Below are 18,459 nucleotides of genomic sequence, written 5' to 3' on the forward strand. Positions count from 1 at the left end.
TTTCTTTCAGAACGCGTTTAAAATCTCGGCTAAGAACTCTGATAGGAACTTGGAAGAGCACCATTTTTAATCCTAGGCTAACGATTGTGGCTGGGGGATGAGAGGAGTATTGTGATTGGCTGTCCCACCAAAATCACAAGTAGGGGTAAGGGATACTACCTTAGTGGGAAAGGAGTTGCAGTTATCAGGAAAAGAGGGACACATAATACTGGGCAGACAGAACCCAAAAATATTCACTCAGAGTATCTAGTAGGAATTTGGAGGGAGTATGCATACTATGGTAAGCATGGTTTTTCCTAACTGCAGCATAGATGGTAAGTTTAGTTTTGAAGAAACTGAAGTGTCTATAAGCTATAGGGTAGTAGATAGATATTTAGAACTTATTATCCAAAGAAAAATAAGAAGAGAGGGGAAGAAAAGAGAAAAACGCTCTTATAAATAAAAAATATTACTATTGTTCATAAAACATAGGAGGTAGAACAAAATTAAAATTTATTTTAAATTTTATTATTGCCACTGCAATTCCCCTTACGTCAACCTTGATATACCTTTTAAATATTTAAGGTGTAATGATTACTTCAGTTCTTAGGCCAATAGATAGTCAGATTTGCTACATAGTCTCCCTTACAAGTTTTTTTTTTATTAGTCATTTCTTCTGTAGACATTATGGTCAAATAACACGATATGTAGTTATCATAGCAATTGATTTCACATAAATTAAGCCAAGGAGCAACATAATGAAAACATGCAAAGATATAATTTATATGATGTTTTTAATTGGTCAGAAATGGCTTACTGACTAATGTTATAATATTGGGATTAATAGAAGTAGAAAGAATGTTGATTTCTACCCCCCGCACCCAGATTTTAGCTCAATTAACATAAACTGGTTGAACAGTTAAGGTTGGACAACATCATAAAAAATGTGTGTGGGGACAAACTGTACATTCTATAAACTGTTGTGTCTGTATAATTTGAAGGAATTATAGGGAAAAAATCTAGGTTGTATATTACCTAGATTTGCGCTAATATGATAGCTATATAACTTTGAATTAATTATAATTAAATAAAATAAAAAATTTAGTTTCTTGGTCATGCTAGCCATACTTCAAGTGCCAAGAGGCACATGAGGCTCATGTCTACCATACTGGACAATAACCATCTAGGACATTTCCATTATCACAAAAAGTTCTGTTGGAGAGCACCAGTCTACACAGCACCAGCAAGTCAGTTCCCTTTCTTTGGAATGAAATAAGCTAAATAAAATTTTTAAGAGGGATTTTTCTCTCCGTGTGCTCCACAGTAAGCACTGTCAACTCTATGTTTAAGATGCATCCCAAATCTACCCACTTCTCTTTTTTTCTACTGTTACTCTCTGAGCCTGAGCCATTTTTATCTCCCATCTGGACAACTTCAATAGTCTCCTGACTCACCCCTCTATTTCCATTCTTTCAATTTATATATGGTCTCCATGGAGCAGCTGGAATGATTTTTAAAAAACACGTACTGGTTTTAAATTTCTTGAGAAAAAAAGGAATGTGAAAGAAGGACACAATATTTTCTGAATTTCCATTACTTGTGCCACTGTGCACCGTTCTTTCAAAGAAGCGATCTTCTTTAATCTTTACAATAATAAAGGAAAAGGGAGGTATTATAATTCCTTTTTGCAAAGGCGGAAATTAGGACTCAGAGAGGGCAAATAACTAGCTTGTGTTCACCTAGCTAGTAAGTGGCAAACCCTTTGAAGAAATGAATGGATGATTTAAACAGCCAAGTCCTAAGCTTTCTACTAGACTACCTCGCCAAACATTATTAAGCACTGAAGGAGATTTGTTACTGGGCTTCTTCCTTTTGAGGAAGAGAGAAATTCTTTGTATCTTTCTCTACCTTATCTGCTCATTTATCTGGACTTTGCCTCCTCAGTTATGAGTATAGCAGTCCCCTCAGGGTGAAGTTGAAGGTCTCTATTCTTTTAATTCTCAAAGATGCCAAAGTGGCAGGTACAGTTTTGACCCCATATGGAAAGGGTCTCCTCCCAACCAAGTTGGGCTTGCTCTTCCACGGTTTAGGGCAGTGGTTCACTCATTTTTAGGTCTGAGGCACAGTTTAAAATACTAGCTTTCTTTTCTTTTCTTTTCTTTTTGAGACAGGGCCTGCTCTTTCCCCCAGGCTGGAGTTCAGTGGTGTAATCATGGCTCACGGCAGCTTTGACTTTCTGGGCTCAAGCAATCCTCCCACCCCAGCTTCCCAAGTAGCTGGGACTACATGTGTACACCACTGTACCCAGCTAATTGATTTTTTTTTTTTTTTTTTTTTTTTGTAGAGACGGGATCTTGCCATGTTGCCCAAGCTGATCTTGAACTTCCGGGTTCAAGCCATTTTCCTGCCTTGGTCTCCCAAAGTGCTGAGATTACAGGCATGAGCCACTGCGCCCAGCTAAAATACTAGTTTTTGAAGGCATTTAAAGGAGTTGAAAGATTCAAAACAGCTCACACACAAAAAGCCAGTATAATAACAACAAATTATAATAAAATAAAACATCTCAATATATATAAGTACAGCCATGGTTATCATGGTTGTTATTACGCCCTTCCCCTGCTTTGTTCCACATGTTCCATCTGCCTAGCCTCACTGTATTTAAGAGTCTGTGTACTGAGTTGTAGCAAAAGTATGTTGTATTCCTTTTATTATCTTTATTGCAGCTGGAAGGATCTCTGTGAAGATATTGCAACATAACAGTTGGTCAGAGCAGGTTAGAAACCTCTTCTTCCTTTCCTCTTAAGAAACAGATCTCTATCTTCCTGTGACAGACTAATTTAAAAAAAACAAAAAAGGGGCCGGGCGCAGTGGCTCACGCCTGTAATCCCAGCACTTTGGGAGGCCGAGGCGGGCGGATCACGAGGTCAGGAGATCGACACCATCCTGGCTAACACGGTGAAACCCCGTCTCTACTAAAAATACAAAAAATTAGCCGGGCGTGGTGGCGGGCGCCTGTAGTCCCAGCTACTCGGGAGGCTGAGGCAGGAGAATGGCGTGAACCTGGGAGGCGGAGCTTGCAGTGAGCCGAGATCACGCCACCTCACTCTAGCCTGGGCGACAGAGCGAGACTCCGTCTTTAAAAAAAAAAAAAAAAAAAAAGGAAATGGATCTCCTCCTCCCACCTTTGTCCTCTGAGCGGCAGCCCGAATGAATAGGAAGCTGTCAGCATCAGCCACGTATGCCCTGGAGAGTCACAAGCCTCACTGGTTTTCGGCATGGCTGCCTTTCTTCATCTCAATTGAGTAATCTTCAAACCCTTGTTTCCCCACTCCACATTTCTTAGTATAAATATCATTTCAGTTCGCTTCTTGGGCTACGGATAAAGCAGAGGAGGGGTATGAAATTTTAGAAAAATAGAGATGAATACTTTGTTTCAGTCCTTAATTTTACTGATGAGGAAACTGACTACTAAGAGGTTGCAGTAACTTTCCCAAAGTCATACAGCTAGTTAGAGTGTGGATTTCAGAGCCACACTGGATTTAACTTCCAGTGCTGTCATTTACTAGCTGTTTTGAGTTTGGGAAAGTCATGTAAATATTCTGAGTCTCCGTTTTCTCTGTAAAATGAAGATGATAATAGTTAGATCACAGAGTTGTTGGTTATTGCAAACTATTACGCATCACCTGGAAAAGTGTAGTAGTTATCTATTACGGTGTTACAGATAACCCCAACATTAGCAGCTTAAAACAGCAAACTTTTTTTTTTTTTTTTTTTTTTTTTTTGAGATGGAGTCTCTCACTCTTGTCACCCAGGCTGGAGTGCAATGGCACGATCTCGGCTCACTGCAAGCTCCACCTCCTGGGTTCCCACCATTCTCCTGCCTCAGCCTCCCGAGTAGCTGGGACTACAGGTGCCCGCCACCACACCTGGCTAATTTTTTGTATTTTTAGTAGAGACAGGGTTTCACCGGGTTAGCCAGGATGGTGTCGATCTCCTGACCTCGTGATCCGCCCGCCTCGGCCTCCCAAAGTGCTGGGATTACAGGCATGAGCCACTGCGCCCGGTCCCTCTTTTTTTTTTTTTTTAATTAGTCTGTCACAGGAAGATGGAGGTCTGTGGATCTGGGATTACAGGCATGAGCTACCGCGCGTGGCCGCAAACATTTTTTATCTTACGATTTCTGTGGGTCAGCAATCTGGGTGTGGCTTCGCTGGATACCTCAGGCTCAGCATCTACTACAAAGCTGCATGATAGGTCATGCAAAATGCCATTTACATGGGTGTGAAAAGCAGGAAGTGGAATCATTGGAGACCATTTTCCAGGCTGTCTAGCACAGAGTATCTGCTTCATAATGATTGATTTGGGATTAGATACTGGGTCAAGTAATAATGTCACCCACACAGATTATTGGATCAATGTTCACCTGAAGGCTTTGTTCTCAGCCTGGTCTTGTTTAACATGTTTGTTTTGTTTTGTTTTTTTGAGACGGAGTCTCGCTCTGTCACCCAGGCTGGTGTGCAGTGGCGCCATCTCTGCTCACTGCAAGCTCCACCTCCCGGATTCAGCCATTCTCCTGCCTCGGCCTCCTGAGTAGTTGGGACTACAGGCGCCCGCCACCATGCCCAGCTAATTTTTTGTATTTTTAGTAGAGACGTGGTTTCACTGTGTTAGCCAGGATGGTCTCGATCTCCTGACCTCATGATCCACCTGCCTTGGCCTCCCGAAGTGCTGGGATTACAGGCTTCAGGCACCGTGCCCGGCCACATTTAACATTTTTATCAGTGACTTAGATGATGATATAAAACAATAGTATCTAATTTTTCTTGATTATGTGTCAGTAAAAACTTGTAAGTGTTCACTTCAAATATATATATTTATTTATAAGTTAACACATGTGCCAGTGTTAATCTATTAACTAATAGTGACTTACTTTCATTCATTCTTTAGATTTAAAAAGTTACAAATAGAAGTTCCATTATTTTTTCACCTGAATCCCAAAGGATTCTTATGTACTCTCTGGGTGTGCAAAACCCACCAACAGAGAAAGTGACTGAGAGATGGAGAATGTGGTGGATGTCACAGTCAGGATCTAAAGAAAGTACCAAGATTGGGGCTAAATCATGTAAACAATCAACATCCCAGGGGCACTGCTGGCACATGAATCACATTGTGGGGATCCTTGCAGAGGTGCCCTCTTTGAGCAGAAGAAAGACAAAGATTATCTCCTTCTTTAGGGAACAGAGTGTGGCGAACTGAGTCCAGGTTGGATTTCAGTCACTTCTCATCTGTGCCTCTTCTTGTGCAGTGCACAAAAGGTACAACAATCCATGGAGACCTGTGGCTTTCCATTAACAAAGAGGCCGTTCTTGGAATTTCAAGTCAGTTGACTTAACTGAGGCTCAAGAAACAGAAAAATTAAGTATATGGTGGAAACAAGCCTCAGAAATAAGGCTAAATCTCAGCTTTTTAAGACATAGATCACACATTTGGCCAAGATATCAAGACTGACTTGATTCTCTCTCTCTCTCTCTCTTTTTTTTTTTTTTTTTTTTTTAAACACAGGGTCTCGCTATGTTGCCCAGGCTGGTCTGGAACTCCTGAGCTCAAGAGATCCTCCCTCCTCCGCCTCTCAAAGTGCTGGGATTACAGGCATGAGCCACCGTGCCTGGCTGAAATTGAATTGATTCTATGACCTTCTTGTTTTCATCTTTTTAGCCCCAAAAGGGGGGAGACTAGGTTCCCTTTTTAAAAGTGTGGACTGGATAAATGACTCAATTCTAAAGAATAAAATATGACGGAATATGTATAATTAGGTCATAGAATGCCTCATGGCTTCTTTCTTATTCTCTCTTGGATTATGGACTCTGGGGGAAGCTGCCATGTGGTGAGGGCACTCAAGCAACCCTATAGAGGGGTCCATGTAATGAGGAACTCAGGTCTCCTGCTAACAGCCATGTAAATGAGTCATCTTGGAAGCAGATCCTCCAGCCTTGGTCAAGCCATCACAGGACTGCTGCCCCCACCAGCTAACAGATCGATTGCAACTGCGGGACAGACTCTCAGCCAGAACCACCTAGCTAAGCTGCTCCCAGATTCTTGACCCATAGAAACTGTGAGAGGTAATGGGTATTTGTTATTTTAAGCTAGGGGTTGGCAAAGTACTGCTCCAAGGCCAAATCCAGTCTGCAGCCTGTCTTTGTAAATAATGTTTTATTGGGACAAAGCCATGTCTGTTGGTTTATATAGTGTCTATGGCTACTTTCCCATTACAACAGCACAGTTGAGTAATTGTGATAGCAACTATGTGACCCACAAAGCTGAAGATGTTTACCATTTGGCCGTATGTTACAGAAGGAAGGTTCATGGCTGGGCATGGTGGCTCACGTCTGTCATCCCAGCACTTTGGGAGGCTGAGGCAGGAGGATCACAGGAGCCCAGAAGTTCCAGACCAGCCTGGGAAACATGATAAGACCCATCTCTACAAAAAAAAAATTAAAAATTACAGTCAGACGCGGTGGCTCATGCCTGTAATCCCAGCACTTTGGGAGGCCGAAGAGGGCAGATCACTTGAGGTCAGGAGTTCGAGACCAGTCTGGCCAACGTGATGAAACCCTTCATCTCTACTAAAAGTACAAAAGAATTAGCCAGGCGTGGTGGCATGCTCCTGTAGTCCAGGCTACTTGGGAAGCTGAGGCAGGAGAGTTGCTTGAACCTGGGAGGTGGAGGTTGCAGTGAGCCGGGATCGTGCCACTGCACTCCAGCCTGGGTGACAGAGTGAGACTTTGTCTCAAAAAAAAAAAAAATTAGCCAGGCATGATGTTATGCACCTGTAGTCCCAGCTACTCAGGGAGGCTGAGTTGGGAGGATTACTTGAGCCCAGAAGGTTGAGGCTGCAGTGAGCCAAGCTGTGATTGCTCCACTGCACTTCAGCCTGGGTGACAGAGTGAGACCCTGTCTCAAAACTAAACTAAACTAAAATAAAAAGTTTGGCAATTCCTGTTTTAAGCTTTTGGAGTAATTTTTTTTTTCTTGCACAGCAGTAGATACCTAATATGGAGGAAACTGACAATGCTTTAATTTGTGTTGAGAGCACCCAGCAACACAAACTCTTGCCATGATGTTGTTTACTTTTTTCCCCTTCTTGATACATATTTGTTTTGTTGTAGTTTGTGTGTTTTTTGTTTGTTTGGTTTTTTGCAAATCAGTATCAGGCCTTGTGTCCCATGAGGCTCTGCTGCTCAAAGGGTGGTCCTTGGTCCCAGCAGCATCAGCACCAGCACAGACAACCCTTTAAAAACAACAGACATTTTTTTTTTCTCGGGGTTTTTTCTGTTCTCATTTCAAAACTATTCTTCATTTCTCCTCTTGGCAAGAGCTGTGGTTTACATGTAAACTATTGCTGTCTCTGCAGAAGAAAATCACTTTCCCTACCTTTAAATGAGTTGACTTCTCATTCCATTGTTCGTGGCCTGTGTTGGTGATGCCTGTAGTAGTTGTTTCATTTCCAGTTGCATGGTGGACAGAACAATAAGCAAATCCCCCACGTGGAGGCAAGCTTTGCTGTTTTCAATTCTGTGCTAACCAGCCTTACGCACATGCTGTGAATTTGAGAACCTCCTTTGCCGAAGCCGGGAAAGCTTGTCTGGATTAGAAAAGTCCTCCATAGAAACCTGACACTGTCCTGAGCTGGAGTATTTGGAATCACACACAGGAAAGGCTGGGTATTTGCTGACCTGCCTGAATGGCAGAATGTGTGTGCGGTTGTCTCCAATTACAGCACTCCAGGAAGCATCACCCCAAAAGTGCGCTTGCTATGAACCACAGCGTGTCCTTCGGCTAATCCTCGTTAGCTGAGGTGGATTCTCTTTCTACATGTACCCTCTTTTCGAAGTGGTATCCTTCCTGCAGTCTTTTCATGCCTTGGCCTAAGACTCTGGACACAGGCCTAGCTTTGCCCCCACCAGATCCATTCGATAGTTTTTCATGAATCACCAGCTCTCCTGGAGAAACTCAGGGTTCTAATTATTGAAGAACCATGCATAGGGAACTGGAGATAAGCCACGGGTAAGACTTTCCCACATGTTTCCTAAAAAGGGAAGAAGGTCTCATTGGAAGCCCCCTAACATTCAAATGGCAGGAGCTGTCTGATTTCCACCCAAGAATCCAGCTCTGAGTTAGTGGTGGGATCTAATCACCAATCATTCTCTGGGCAATTCCTCATTTTTTGCTTTCCGTCTACAATGACCCCATCACTGGAAGTGGAGCTTGCCCTGGGGAATGCTATATTGAAAAAGGCCTTGCTCTCTGATCTTTCTCAGTCCTCCTACAGGTGATCGTTCATTCTCTTCCTCCGCCTTCCCATGCCATGCTGATGATTAACATTCAACAGATCTGATTCTGCCCTGCCTTCTTCCTGTTGCTCATTCCACTGAGCCTCTCGAGCTCTGAGCTGAAAACCAAGATGATAAGGATGAGGTCTTTGGCCTCAGGGAGGAGCTTCCTGCTTAGTTATCCAGTTATACCTATAAAGGAATAATCCTAGTACTGTGTGATTAATGATCTAAAGGACATTCAAGAGCTATGGGATCCTTGAGGAAGGAGTGTGTAATTATTTATCTGGAGAAGTGGGATGGGGCAAGAGATTCCAGGCAGTGGGAAAAAACATACCAGATAGAGGCACAGGGCCATGAAACCACATGGGGAAGAGCTTATAAGCAGTTCCTTCAGAGAAACAGTCTTTTCATAAATCTCGTCTTAGAAGCTCTGTGTGGAAGGGGCCAGTGGGGGAGGAGGGGCAGTGACATTCAAGAGCGTTTTAAATCACCTCCCCACATTGTATGGGACTAAGGTGAGTCCTGTCTGGAGTTGATGCTTGGATAGAAAAAATGCATATGATCCTGTACTCTGACTGTTGGAAGAGGGCTACATAGAGGGAGACAGAAAAAAATTCTACTCCTTATGAATTCTTTTTCTTAAAATGTTGCTGAAGGTAGCTCTACAAAATTAATCCCTGGCCAGGTCTTGCATGGTTCCTGGCCTTTTCTTCACAAAATTGAGACCCCATGAACCTCCCTGTCTTCTCATCTGTAGGCTCACACTAATCCCTAGGCTCTAAGATCAAGCCAGACTGGGGTATAAGTAACCTATATGGAATTTCCACACAAATCAGGAAAAGGCATCTTCTTCTGTGTGGTCCAGGGCATGTCAAGGATAAGACTCCTTTGAAAGTACTAAGAAAACGGCACTTTTTTTTTGTTTTGAGATGGAGTATTGCTCTGTCGCCCAGGCTGGAGTACAGCGGCATGATCTCAGCTCACCACAACCTCTGCCTCCCGGGTTCAAGCTATTCTGCCTCAGCCTCCCGAGTAGCTGGGACTACAGGCATGCACCACCACACCTGGCTAATTTTGTATTTTTAGTAGAGACAGAATTTCACCTGTTGGCCAGGCTGGTCTCGAATCCCTGACCTCAGGTGATCCGCCTGAAAAAGGCAGTACTTCCGAAGAAAGAGGCACCTACTTCTTTAGGAAGATAGACTCCAATAATGGGGTTATGGCTTGGAGAGCATTGCTGAGCTGGGTTTTATCCCCATCCACTTCTCTCAGTCTGGGGCCCTTGCACTGATCACAATCTGTACAACCACGTGTGCCAGTTCGGGAACATGACCTCTGGCCAGAAAGTTTTAAGGATCAGACATGAGTTCAGTATTGAAAGGTTTAGAATTGAGTCACTGCTGCCACTAGTCCCTCTCTAGCCTGATGTCCCAGCTCTGAGCAGTGGGGCTTTGTCTCTGCGTCTCAGACTAGTTTCTGCCTTGTTATGGTTCTGCACACAGAGCCTCATGTGGCCAAGCTGTTGGAGCAGGCCTCTGCCCTACTCTCCGCCCCTAGCCCCATCCTGAACACTTGTCTATTCTGCCAGTCCTTGAAGCACAGGATCTTGCTCTTTCTGATAGCTTTGTCCAATTCTGTCCAAGCTGCGGCTTGTTGGGGAAGAAAGAAGGCAGGCCTGTGTAGGGCTTTAGGGCTGACTGCTAAGAGAAGGAAGATGGCTGGCATTCAAAGTCTGGGGTGTATTAAAGTCTGACTTAGGCCAGGCGTGGTGGCTCACGCCTGTAATCTCAGCACTTTGGGAGGCCGAGGCGGGTGGATCATGAGGTCAGGAGTTCAAGACCAACCTGGCCAAGATGGTGAATCCCCGTCTCTACTAAAAATACAAAAATTAGTCGGGCATGGTGGTGGACACCTGTAATCCCAGCTACTCAGGAGGCTGAGGCAGAGAATTGCCTGAACACAGGAGGCGGAGGTTGCAGTGAGCAGGGATCTCGCCACTGCACTCTAGCCTGGGCAACAGAGCGAGACTCCATCTAAAAAAAGGAAAGAAAGAAAACAAAAAAGTCTGACTTATAAAGAAAATTGGTCTAAGATGAAGGATGAACTCTCAGGAACAGAAAGCAACAGTATAGAGACTGCCGGCAGCCCAAACAAGAGTGATTTCCCTTTTGTGATCCTATTTTGTTTCCGCAGGAAAAGTGGTGTAAGTGAATCATGATAATCCTATTTCTTTCTGCAGTGATTTAGGGTAGGCCTGTTCCCTGGTTCTGGGGAAGTCTAATGAGAGCCTCTGGGAAAGATTTTCTTCCCTTGCCACCCCCACCTGTCTTTGGAAGTTGTCACGTGGGGATGTGGTATCTTGAGCTGCAGCAGCCATGTTGAGACCATGAGCGAATAAAGTTATGAAAAAAATAGGGACACTAAAACAAAGTGTTGACTTTATTGAACTGCTACATTAATCAATCCTGTCTCTGGACTTCTTGTTATGTGAGAGGATAAATGTCCATTGGTTAAACTATTTTTGTTGAGTATTCTATTAAAGGTTAGTGAAAATAACTGATATGGAAATTATTGTTTGCTAGGCATTGTGCTGCAACTTCATAATATTCATGACAACTCTATGCAGTATGTCTTGCTGTTATCTCTCTTTTTGTATATGAGTAAACTGAAGTTCAGAAATGTATTTTGCCCAACAACATTGCAAGGAACATACTTATTTACATATATTTTGATAAATGGGATTAGTTATTTTCTTGAGTTAATTTCCTGGGAAGGAAACTACGAGCTTGAAGAGTATACATATTGTTATTGATTAAATGTCTGTGTCCCCCTAGAATTCATATGTTGAAGTTCTTACCCTCATTGTGACTGTATTTTGAGACAGGGTCTTTAGGACCTAATTAAATAAAGTCGTAAGAGTGGGACCCTGATCAGATAGGCTTAGTGTCCTTATAAGAAGAGATACCAGATAGCCCCCTCTCTCCATGCGCACACAAAAAAGAGGTCATGTGAGGACATAGCAAGAAGGTGGTTGTCTGCAAGCTACGAAGAGAGCCCTCATCAGGAATGGAATCAGCTAGCACCTTGATCTTGGACTTCCTAGCCTAGAACTGTGAGAAATAAATTCCTGTTGTTTAAGCCCTCTAATTTATAGTATTTTCTTATGGCAGCCTAAGCTGACTAAAAGGTTTTTGACACCTACTGCCAAATTGTCCTCCAGAAACATTATACCAGTTGGCATTCCTACCAGTAGTATATAAAAAAATACATATTTCCCTGTGCTTATATCAGTACTGAATGTAACCTTAGAAGAACTGAATTTAAAGTGCAGTATACCTTACAGCATCTGGGTATGTTTGGACAAACCACTCCCCTCTCTGAGTCCCAGTATCCTCATTTGTCAAATTAGCATCATAATAATCCCTGTCTTGTTGGTGCCATCTCACAGCACTGTTGGGAGTTCCAATGAGATGAAGTATGAGAAGATGTTTTGCAAACTGTAAAGGAAAACATAAGTATTGTTGGTGGTGTTATTCATCTCCCTGCCTCAGTAGAATAAACTGTAGAATGTTTAGGAGGTCAAATGAAACAGTCAAAAATAATTTTGCAGTGTTCAGTCAGCTCCAATGGTGTGAAAATTAGTCAAAATGAGAAATGCATGAATGCTTTGGTTACAGTCTTGAAGGTCAACTTGAATCTGAATTCAATGTCGGCTGGACCCAAATAATTTTCTAGAATCAGAAAATTCTACTTCCTACTAGGTTGACATTCGTAACCTTCCTGGATCCTATCAGAGAAACCTTGTTCATCATTTCATTTCCAAATTATGAAGACCACCTGGGCCTGACTGAAGATGCTTGTTTCTTCCTCTTCCCTAACGCCCTTTCCACCAGTGCGGACTGCAGGTATGGACATAGGGAAGGGTGGGTAAGTATTAAGTGCTATGAGCTCCGAGGAAGAAGAAATTCCATATATACAACCAGATAGTGCATGTGTGTGTAATGCTTATTTTGTGCCCATTTAATTAATGCCATGATCACTATTCCTTCTAGTAATTAATTTGATTTTCATTAGTAATAGAAAGATAGATCAACTCCTTGAAATCAGAGAGAGCTTTAAAAAATGCTCAGCCAGGAGGTGTTAAGTATTTCACTAAGTGTGAGACTTCTGGCAAAACCCCCATCTCAGCATTCGGTTGTTCTCTTTGTTAACAGTTGTTGGCAGAGATACAGGAATAGATTTTGACCAGCAATTCCATAAGTACTTTACTCTACTGAAATCCATTTTTTGATTTATAAACTGCACATTTAATGTAAATAGCACATTATTCCCCTCGTCACAGAGTTGATATAGTAATGATGAATGTCTATAAGTGATAATTACTCTGCATTTAGGGTTCTCTGCATGATCTCGGCTCACTGCAACCTTATACAAACCTTATACAAACAGTTATATCTCAAGCTGGCCCTAGGCAAAATTGTACAATGGTCTAATAAAGTGTCTTTTACTTATATCTTACGTTCTGCTGCTGCTTCTTATATATATACATAGTGTAGACTCCCAGGAGTGGGATTTCTGGGTCAAAGGGTATGTTGAATTTGTCTTCTGTTATTGTCAGATTGCTCTCCAAGAAGACATTAATCTAGCAATGTGTAGTAGATTTCTCCTGCAAACCCACCAACAAGAGATGTTATCTATTTTTAGAATGTTATGAGTACAATGCTGTATAAAGTGATATGATACTGTGTACTTACTTGCATTTCTGTGACTATTAGTAAATTTGAGCATATTTTTACTTTTCTTCAAGCCTTGTATAACTTTTAACCATTCACGTTTTTTCTTTTACTATCTTCCATTACATCTACAGCAACCAGCCATTTTTCTTTAAACACAAAATTAATCTATTTTCCATAAATAAAAAACACATCCACTATTAGAACATATATTCATATTTCTTTGCCACCATATCCCTCCATCACTCACATCAATTACAATTTTGACTAAAGTCATTAACTTTGAGGTACGTCTACTTTTTCACTTTCTGGAATTTCTATATTCAGATGCTTGGGGGACTAATGCTCTAATGTTCTTATCATCCTGTTGCTCCGTTTTTTATCTCTGTATCTTTTTTTTTTTGAGGCAGGGTCTCTATCTGTTGCCCAGGCTGCAGTACAGTGGCGTGATCTCAGCTCACTGCAACCTCCACCTCCCCAGTTCAAGCAATCCTCTTGCCTCAGTCTCCCAAGTAGCTGGGATTACAGGTGTGTGCCCCCAGGCCCACCTAATTCTTATATTTTTAGTACAGATGGAATTTCACCATGTTGGCCAGGCTGGTCTCAAACTCTTGATCTCAAATGATCCACCCCCGCTCAGTCTCCCAAAGTGTTGGGATTATAGGCATGAGCCACCACACTCGGCCATCTCTGTACCTTTTTGTTCTATTTGCTGGTAGTTCCTAAACTTCATGTCCCACCCCTTCTATTGAATTTTTCATTTCTGCTTTCATGTTCTTAATTGTGAAGAACTTCTTTTTGTTCTCTGAATGTTTCTTTTAAAAATGCTATTCTATTCGTATTTCATGGATGCAATATCTTAAATCTGAACGTATATATTTTAAAAAGAGTTCTCTCACTCTCAGCATTGTCTCTCATTGCTGTTTTTGGTCCCTGTCTTCCATGTAAAAAATGTTCCTTGGGGGCTGGGCGCAGTGGCTCACGGCTGTAATCCCAGCACTTTGGGAGGCTGAGGTGGGCGGATCACAAGGCCAGGAAATCAAGACCATCCTGTCTAATAGGGTGAGACCTCATTTCTACTAAATATACAAAAACTTAGCCAGGCGTGGTGGTGAGTGCCTGTAGTCCCAGCTACTCGGGAGGCTGAGGCAGAAGAATTGCTTGAACCCGGAAGGTGGAGGTTGCAGTGAGCCGAGATCACACCACTGCACTCCAGCCTGGGCGACAGAGCGAGACTCCTTCTCAAAAAAAGAAAAAACAAAACAACAACAACAACAACAACAAAAAACGTTCCTTGGATGTCTCATCATCCTTAGTTGTCTGCTCTTATTTAACAGTGGGGAGCTAAGAGGCTGGCTGGTGTTCTGGGTGTGTCAGGTGGGCTTATGGAGTACAGAGTGACCCCACTGTTTGGATTGGTGAGGAGCTCTATTCCCTACCCCTCCATTGTCCCCCTTCCCACTGCACCACATCAACATGTTTAGATCTATCTTCTTGTCCAAGTCTCTTGAGAAGAATCTTCATCTCTTGCCTGGAGGGTGAGAGCTTGACTGTTTGCATTGTGGATTTTGAGAAGGACTGGAAGTCTACGTGTTTTCACTTAATCCCCCTTAAGTCCAGGCTGGTGTAGGGAGACAGCCTTTCTTCCCCCTTCTCCAAAGAATGAAGCCTAACTCTGGGGTGAGGAAAGGAGGGTGGAGTAGAAAGGGATTGAAGAGTCTGACTGTGTCTTAAACAGATTTCAAACCATCCTTATTTTAGTTTCTCACTTTGCCCCCACTTCCAGAGGCACCTAGTGCCTCCCATTCCTGAGCTTTTTGTGAATACTGTGTTGCAAATCAAGTTGATTCTTCACCTTTCCCATGGATGACTTAAACCCACTGATGTGCTAAGCCAGCTCTCATTCTTATGTCTGCTTTCCAAACCCAGACTTTGTATTGCCTCCTCTCCAATCCTCCACGTCCTTAAAGCTCTGTCTTCTTTCATTGCAAAATCTTTTGTTAGGTCAGGCACGGTGGCTCACACCTGTAATCCCAGCACTTTGGGAGGCCTAGGCGGGAGGATCACCTGACGTCAGGAGATCAAGACCATCCTGGCCAACATGGTGAAACCCCATCTCTACTAAAATACAAAAAAATTAGCCAGGTGTGGTGGCGTGCACCTGTAGTCCCAGCTACTCAAGAGGCTGAGGCAAGGGAATCGCTTGAACCCAGGAGGCAGAGGTTGCAGTGAGCTGAGATCACGCCATTGCACTCCAGCCTGGCGACAGAGCAAGACTCTGTCTCAAAAAATTAAAATAAAATAAAATAAAACATAAAAAAATCTTTCATTATAGTTTTTGGAAGGACTGAAATTAGATGCACTCTTCAATCCTTACAGCAGCAAATTTTTCTTTTATTACTTTGTTTTATGTGTCTTCCTTGCAATTAGTATTAACCTAGGATTTTTTAAAAAACCCACTCTCTGCTTTGTAGTTTAATGATTGATGTATTAGATTTTATCTCATATATCTGACTTTATATTTATTTATTTTATACATTTTTATGTTATTTTCTTTTTTCCCTTTCTTTGGTAGGTTTGATCAAGTTCAGTTTCTTTCTTTTCCCTTGATAATTAGTATATTTTTTCATTCTGTGTTCCCTTCCTGTCTCTCATAATTACATAGATCTTTCTTTATGATTTTTGAAAACAAGATACCAATTATTTCCCTAATCCAGATGTCTTTTAAACTTCATGCTTTCTCCCTCCATCAGAATACATTTCTTCATTCTTCTGCCTTTCCTCCCAGCAAACGAGACCTTTGGAAATTTTTTTTTTTTCTTTTTTTTTGAGATGGAGTCTCACTCTGTTTCCCAGGCTAGAGTGCGCACCACTGCAACCTCTGCCTCCTGGGTTCAAGCGATTCTCCTGTCTCAGCCTCCCGAGTTGCTGAGATTACAGGCCTGTGCCACAACACCCAGCTAATTTTTGTTACTTTTAGTAGAGACGGGTTTTGCCATGTTGGCCAGGCTAGTCTCAAACTCCTCACCCGCCTTGGCCTCCCAAAGTGCTGGGATTACAGGCGTGAGCCACTGCGCCCGGCCCCATTTATCTATATCTTATTTTCTTTTCCTCTTCCTCTGTGCCTTGGAATTTCATTATGATTTAAACTGGCAGGTGGTTTGGATATAGGATTTTTGGATTGTGACCATTTTCTCTCAAAATTCTTTTTCTTCATAATTTCCATCGTGTATATTTTTGCTTTGTGCTTTAAGATATTTATTCTATTAAATATTTTATGCCACTATTTTGGACCTCAACGTGGCCTTCCTTTCTTCCAACTCATGCAATATTAGTTGGGAAATTGTAATTTTTAGCTCCAGACTGACTTCAGACTTGAATTTGGACTTCCTTCACTGTTCTCCCAGAGGCCTTCCCCCATCTCTCTTTCTCTTGGCATGTGTAAATCTGAACAATCCACCTGGTTGCTCGCTCTGTGCTCACTGCGGCTGGAGTGCAGTGGCATGATCTCAGCTCATTGCAACCTCTGCCTCCTGGGCTCAAGCAATTCTTGTGCCAGGCTGGAGTGCAGTGGCACAATCTCAGCTCACTGCAACCTCTGCCTCCCAGGTTCAAGCAATTCTCCTGCCTCAGCCTCCCCTGTAGCTGAGATTACAGGTGTGCCACCATGCCCAGCTAATTTTTGTATTTTTAGTAGAGATGGGGTTTCACCATGTTGGTCAGAGTGGTCTCAATCTCCTGACCTCAGGTGATGATCTGCCTGCCTCGGCCTCCTGAAGTGCTGGGATTACTTGTAGGCATGAGCCACCACGCCCGGCCATATAATGCCTACTTAAGCATCAATTGCTGGCCTGTTCAGTGTTGCTCATATGGTTCTGGTCTGCACTGGGCGAGGGCATTTGGCAATGAGGAAGGAGTGTGCTTGGTTTAGAATAGCAGCTTCTGTGGTTCTTTTTAGAGGTATCATTTCTGCCCAAATCTGGGGTGCCTTTTCATTGATCTATATTTGGGAGTTAAATAAAAGGAGAGTTTTATTCTAATTAATTAAATTAAATTAAATAATTTACTTATTTTTGAGACAGAGTCTTGCTCTGTCACCCAGGCTGGAGTGCAGTGGCGCAATCTCGGCTCTTTGCAATCTCTGCCTCCTGGGTTCCAGAGATTCTCATGTCTCAGCCTCCCAAGTAGCTGGGACTACAGGCATGCGCCACCATGCCTAGCTAAATTTTGTATTTTTAGTAGAGGCAGGGTTTCGCCATGTTGACCAGGCTGGTCTCGAACTCTTGGTCAAAATTGATCTGCCCACCTCGGCATCCCAAAGTGCTGGGATTACGGGTGTGTGCCACCATGCCAGGCCTTATTTTGTTTTTATATTTATTTATTTTTTATTTATTTTTGAGACAGGGCCTTGCTCTGCCACCCAGGCTGGAGGACAGTGGTGCAATCACGGCTCACTGCAACCTCGACCTCTCGAGCTCAATTGATCCTCCCACCTCAGCCTCTCAAGTAGCTGAGTCTACAGGTGTGAGCCACTACACCTGGCTAAGCTTTGTATTTTTTGTAGAGACAGGTTCTTGCTATGTTGCCCAGGCTGGTCTCAAACTCCTGGGCTCAAAAGATCCACCTGCCTTGGCTTCCCAAAGTGCTGGGATTACAGGCATGAGCCACTGCACCTGGCTATGATTTTTAAAATTCAAAAGCAGAGTATAGATGGAAACCTAAATGACGGCAAATAATAATAATAATAAACTCTCAGAGACTGTAGGGTGTAGACCAGGCCCTGGATTAATGGGAATGTCTACATTCCATCCCCTTGAGCTCAAATATTCTAGTCAAAGTGAGTCACCCAAGGTTACTTTCGATAGAAGGTGGGTGTGGAAAGACTTGGACAAGAAAATCTAGGAGCCACAGGAGGCCAGATGCTTCTCTCTACAGGAGACTTGACCTTTGACACAGAGCCCTGAGGAAATCTTGACTGTTTTCTTTAGTATTTGATCCTCAGCTGATGCAAACCATTTATTTATGTTTGCCCATTGGACAGCAGGGGGTTTGGGCTGTTTTCACGTCTATATAAGGCAGTGCAGAGTGCTTCCTTTGATGTGTCCCGCCTCTGCTGTGGCCTCATCATGCCGGGCTAACTTGGTCTTCCCCATGTAGGGCTCTAGATCCCACTCCTAAAAACTCTAATTTGAGGATCAGAGTCTGAAATAGCCCAAAAGGTATCCTGTTTAGCTTGTCATTTAAATAGCTAAGCCCCTGCTACGACCATTTAAAACCATCTCACCTTTCATTTAGCTAAGCAGTTCTTTTTTCAGATTTGGCTTGTTTGTGTTTTTCTCTATTCACTGCAATTCTGCATCTATAAAAAGCATTGATGGAAGGAGGAAAGAGTGAAATCAACATTCTTTTTAGTA

At 42.7% G+C, this 18,459-nt stretch overlaps 1 protein-coding gene across 10 annotated transcripts in view, besides 4 other annotated features; it reads left to right on the plus strand.

The window, feature by feature from the left end:
- MAP3K7CL (MAP3K7 C-terminal like) overlaps positions 1-18,459 on the plus strand; it is a 98,774-nt gene that overhangs the window by 19,853 nt on the left and 60,462 nt on the right. For 3 of the 10 annotated variants that reach the window (NM_001371374.1, NM_001286622.2, NM_001286619.2), the window contains one exon: positions 12,074-12,217. The exons of 6 other annotated variants lie outside the window; for them this stretch is intronic. Coding sequence is in view for 2 of the 4 variants with exons in the window: in NM_001286622.2 (NP_001273551.1) it covers positions 12,166-12,217 (52 nt within the window). In the remaining 2 variants the exon portion in view is untranslated. Of the gene's footprint in view, positions 1-12,073; positions 12,826-18,459 lie in introns of those variants that run through there. One more of the 10 variants, NM_001286623.2, reaches the window with a different exon arrangement.
- Positions 3,002-3,296: an enhancer, noted in NCBI's record as "tiled region #4059; HepG2 Activating non-DNase unmatched - State 24:Quies". NCBI's record gives its function as "activates a minimal TATA promoter and a strong SV40 promoter by Sharpr-MPRA in HepG2 cells {active_cell/tissue: HepG2}" and the evidence as "EXISTENCE:reporter gene assay evidence [ECO:0000049][PMID:27701403]".
- Positions 3,124-3,173: an enhancer, noted in NCBI's record as "active region_18334". NCBI's record gives its function as "activates an Ori minimal core promoter by ATAC-STARR-seq in GM12878 lymphoblastoid cells {active_cell/tissue: GM12878}" and the evidence as "EXISTENCE:reporter gene assay evidence [ECO:0000049][PMID:35858748]".
- Positions 7,313-7,372: an enhancer, noted in NCBI's record as "active region_18335". NCBI's record gives its function as "activates an Ori minimal core promoter by ATAC-STARR-seq in GM12878 lymphoblastoid cells {active_cell/tissue: GM12878}" and the evidence as "EXISTENCE:reporter gene assay evidence [ECO:0000049][PMID:35858748]".
- Positions 7,403-7,482: an enhancer, noted in NCBI's record as "active region_18336". NCBI's record gives its function as "activates an Ori minimal core promoter by ATAC-STARR-seq in GM12878 lymphoblastoid cells {active_cell/tissue: GM12878}" and the evidence as "EXISTENCE:reporter gene assay evidence [ECO:0000049][PMID:35858748]".

Source organism: Homo sapiens, chromosome 21 (genome assembly GCF_000001405.40).
Source record: "Homo sapiens chromosome 21, GRCh38.p14 Primary Assembly".
NCBI lineage: Eukaryota > Metazoa > Chordata > Mammalia > Primates > Hominidae > Homo > Homo sapiens.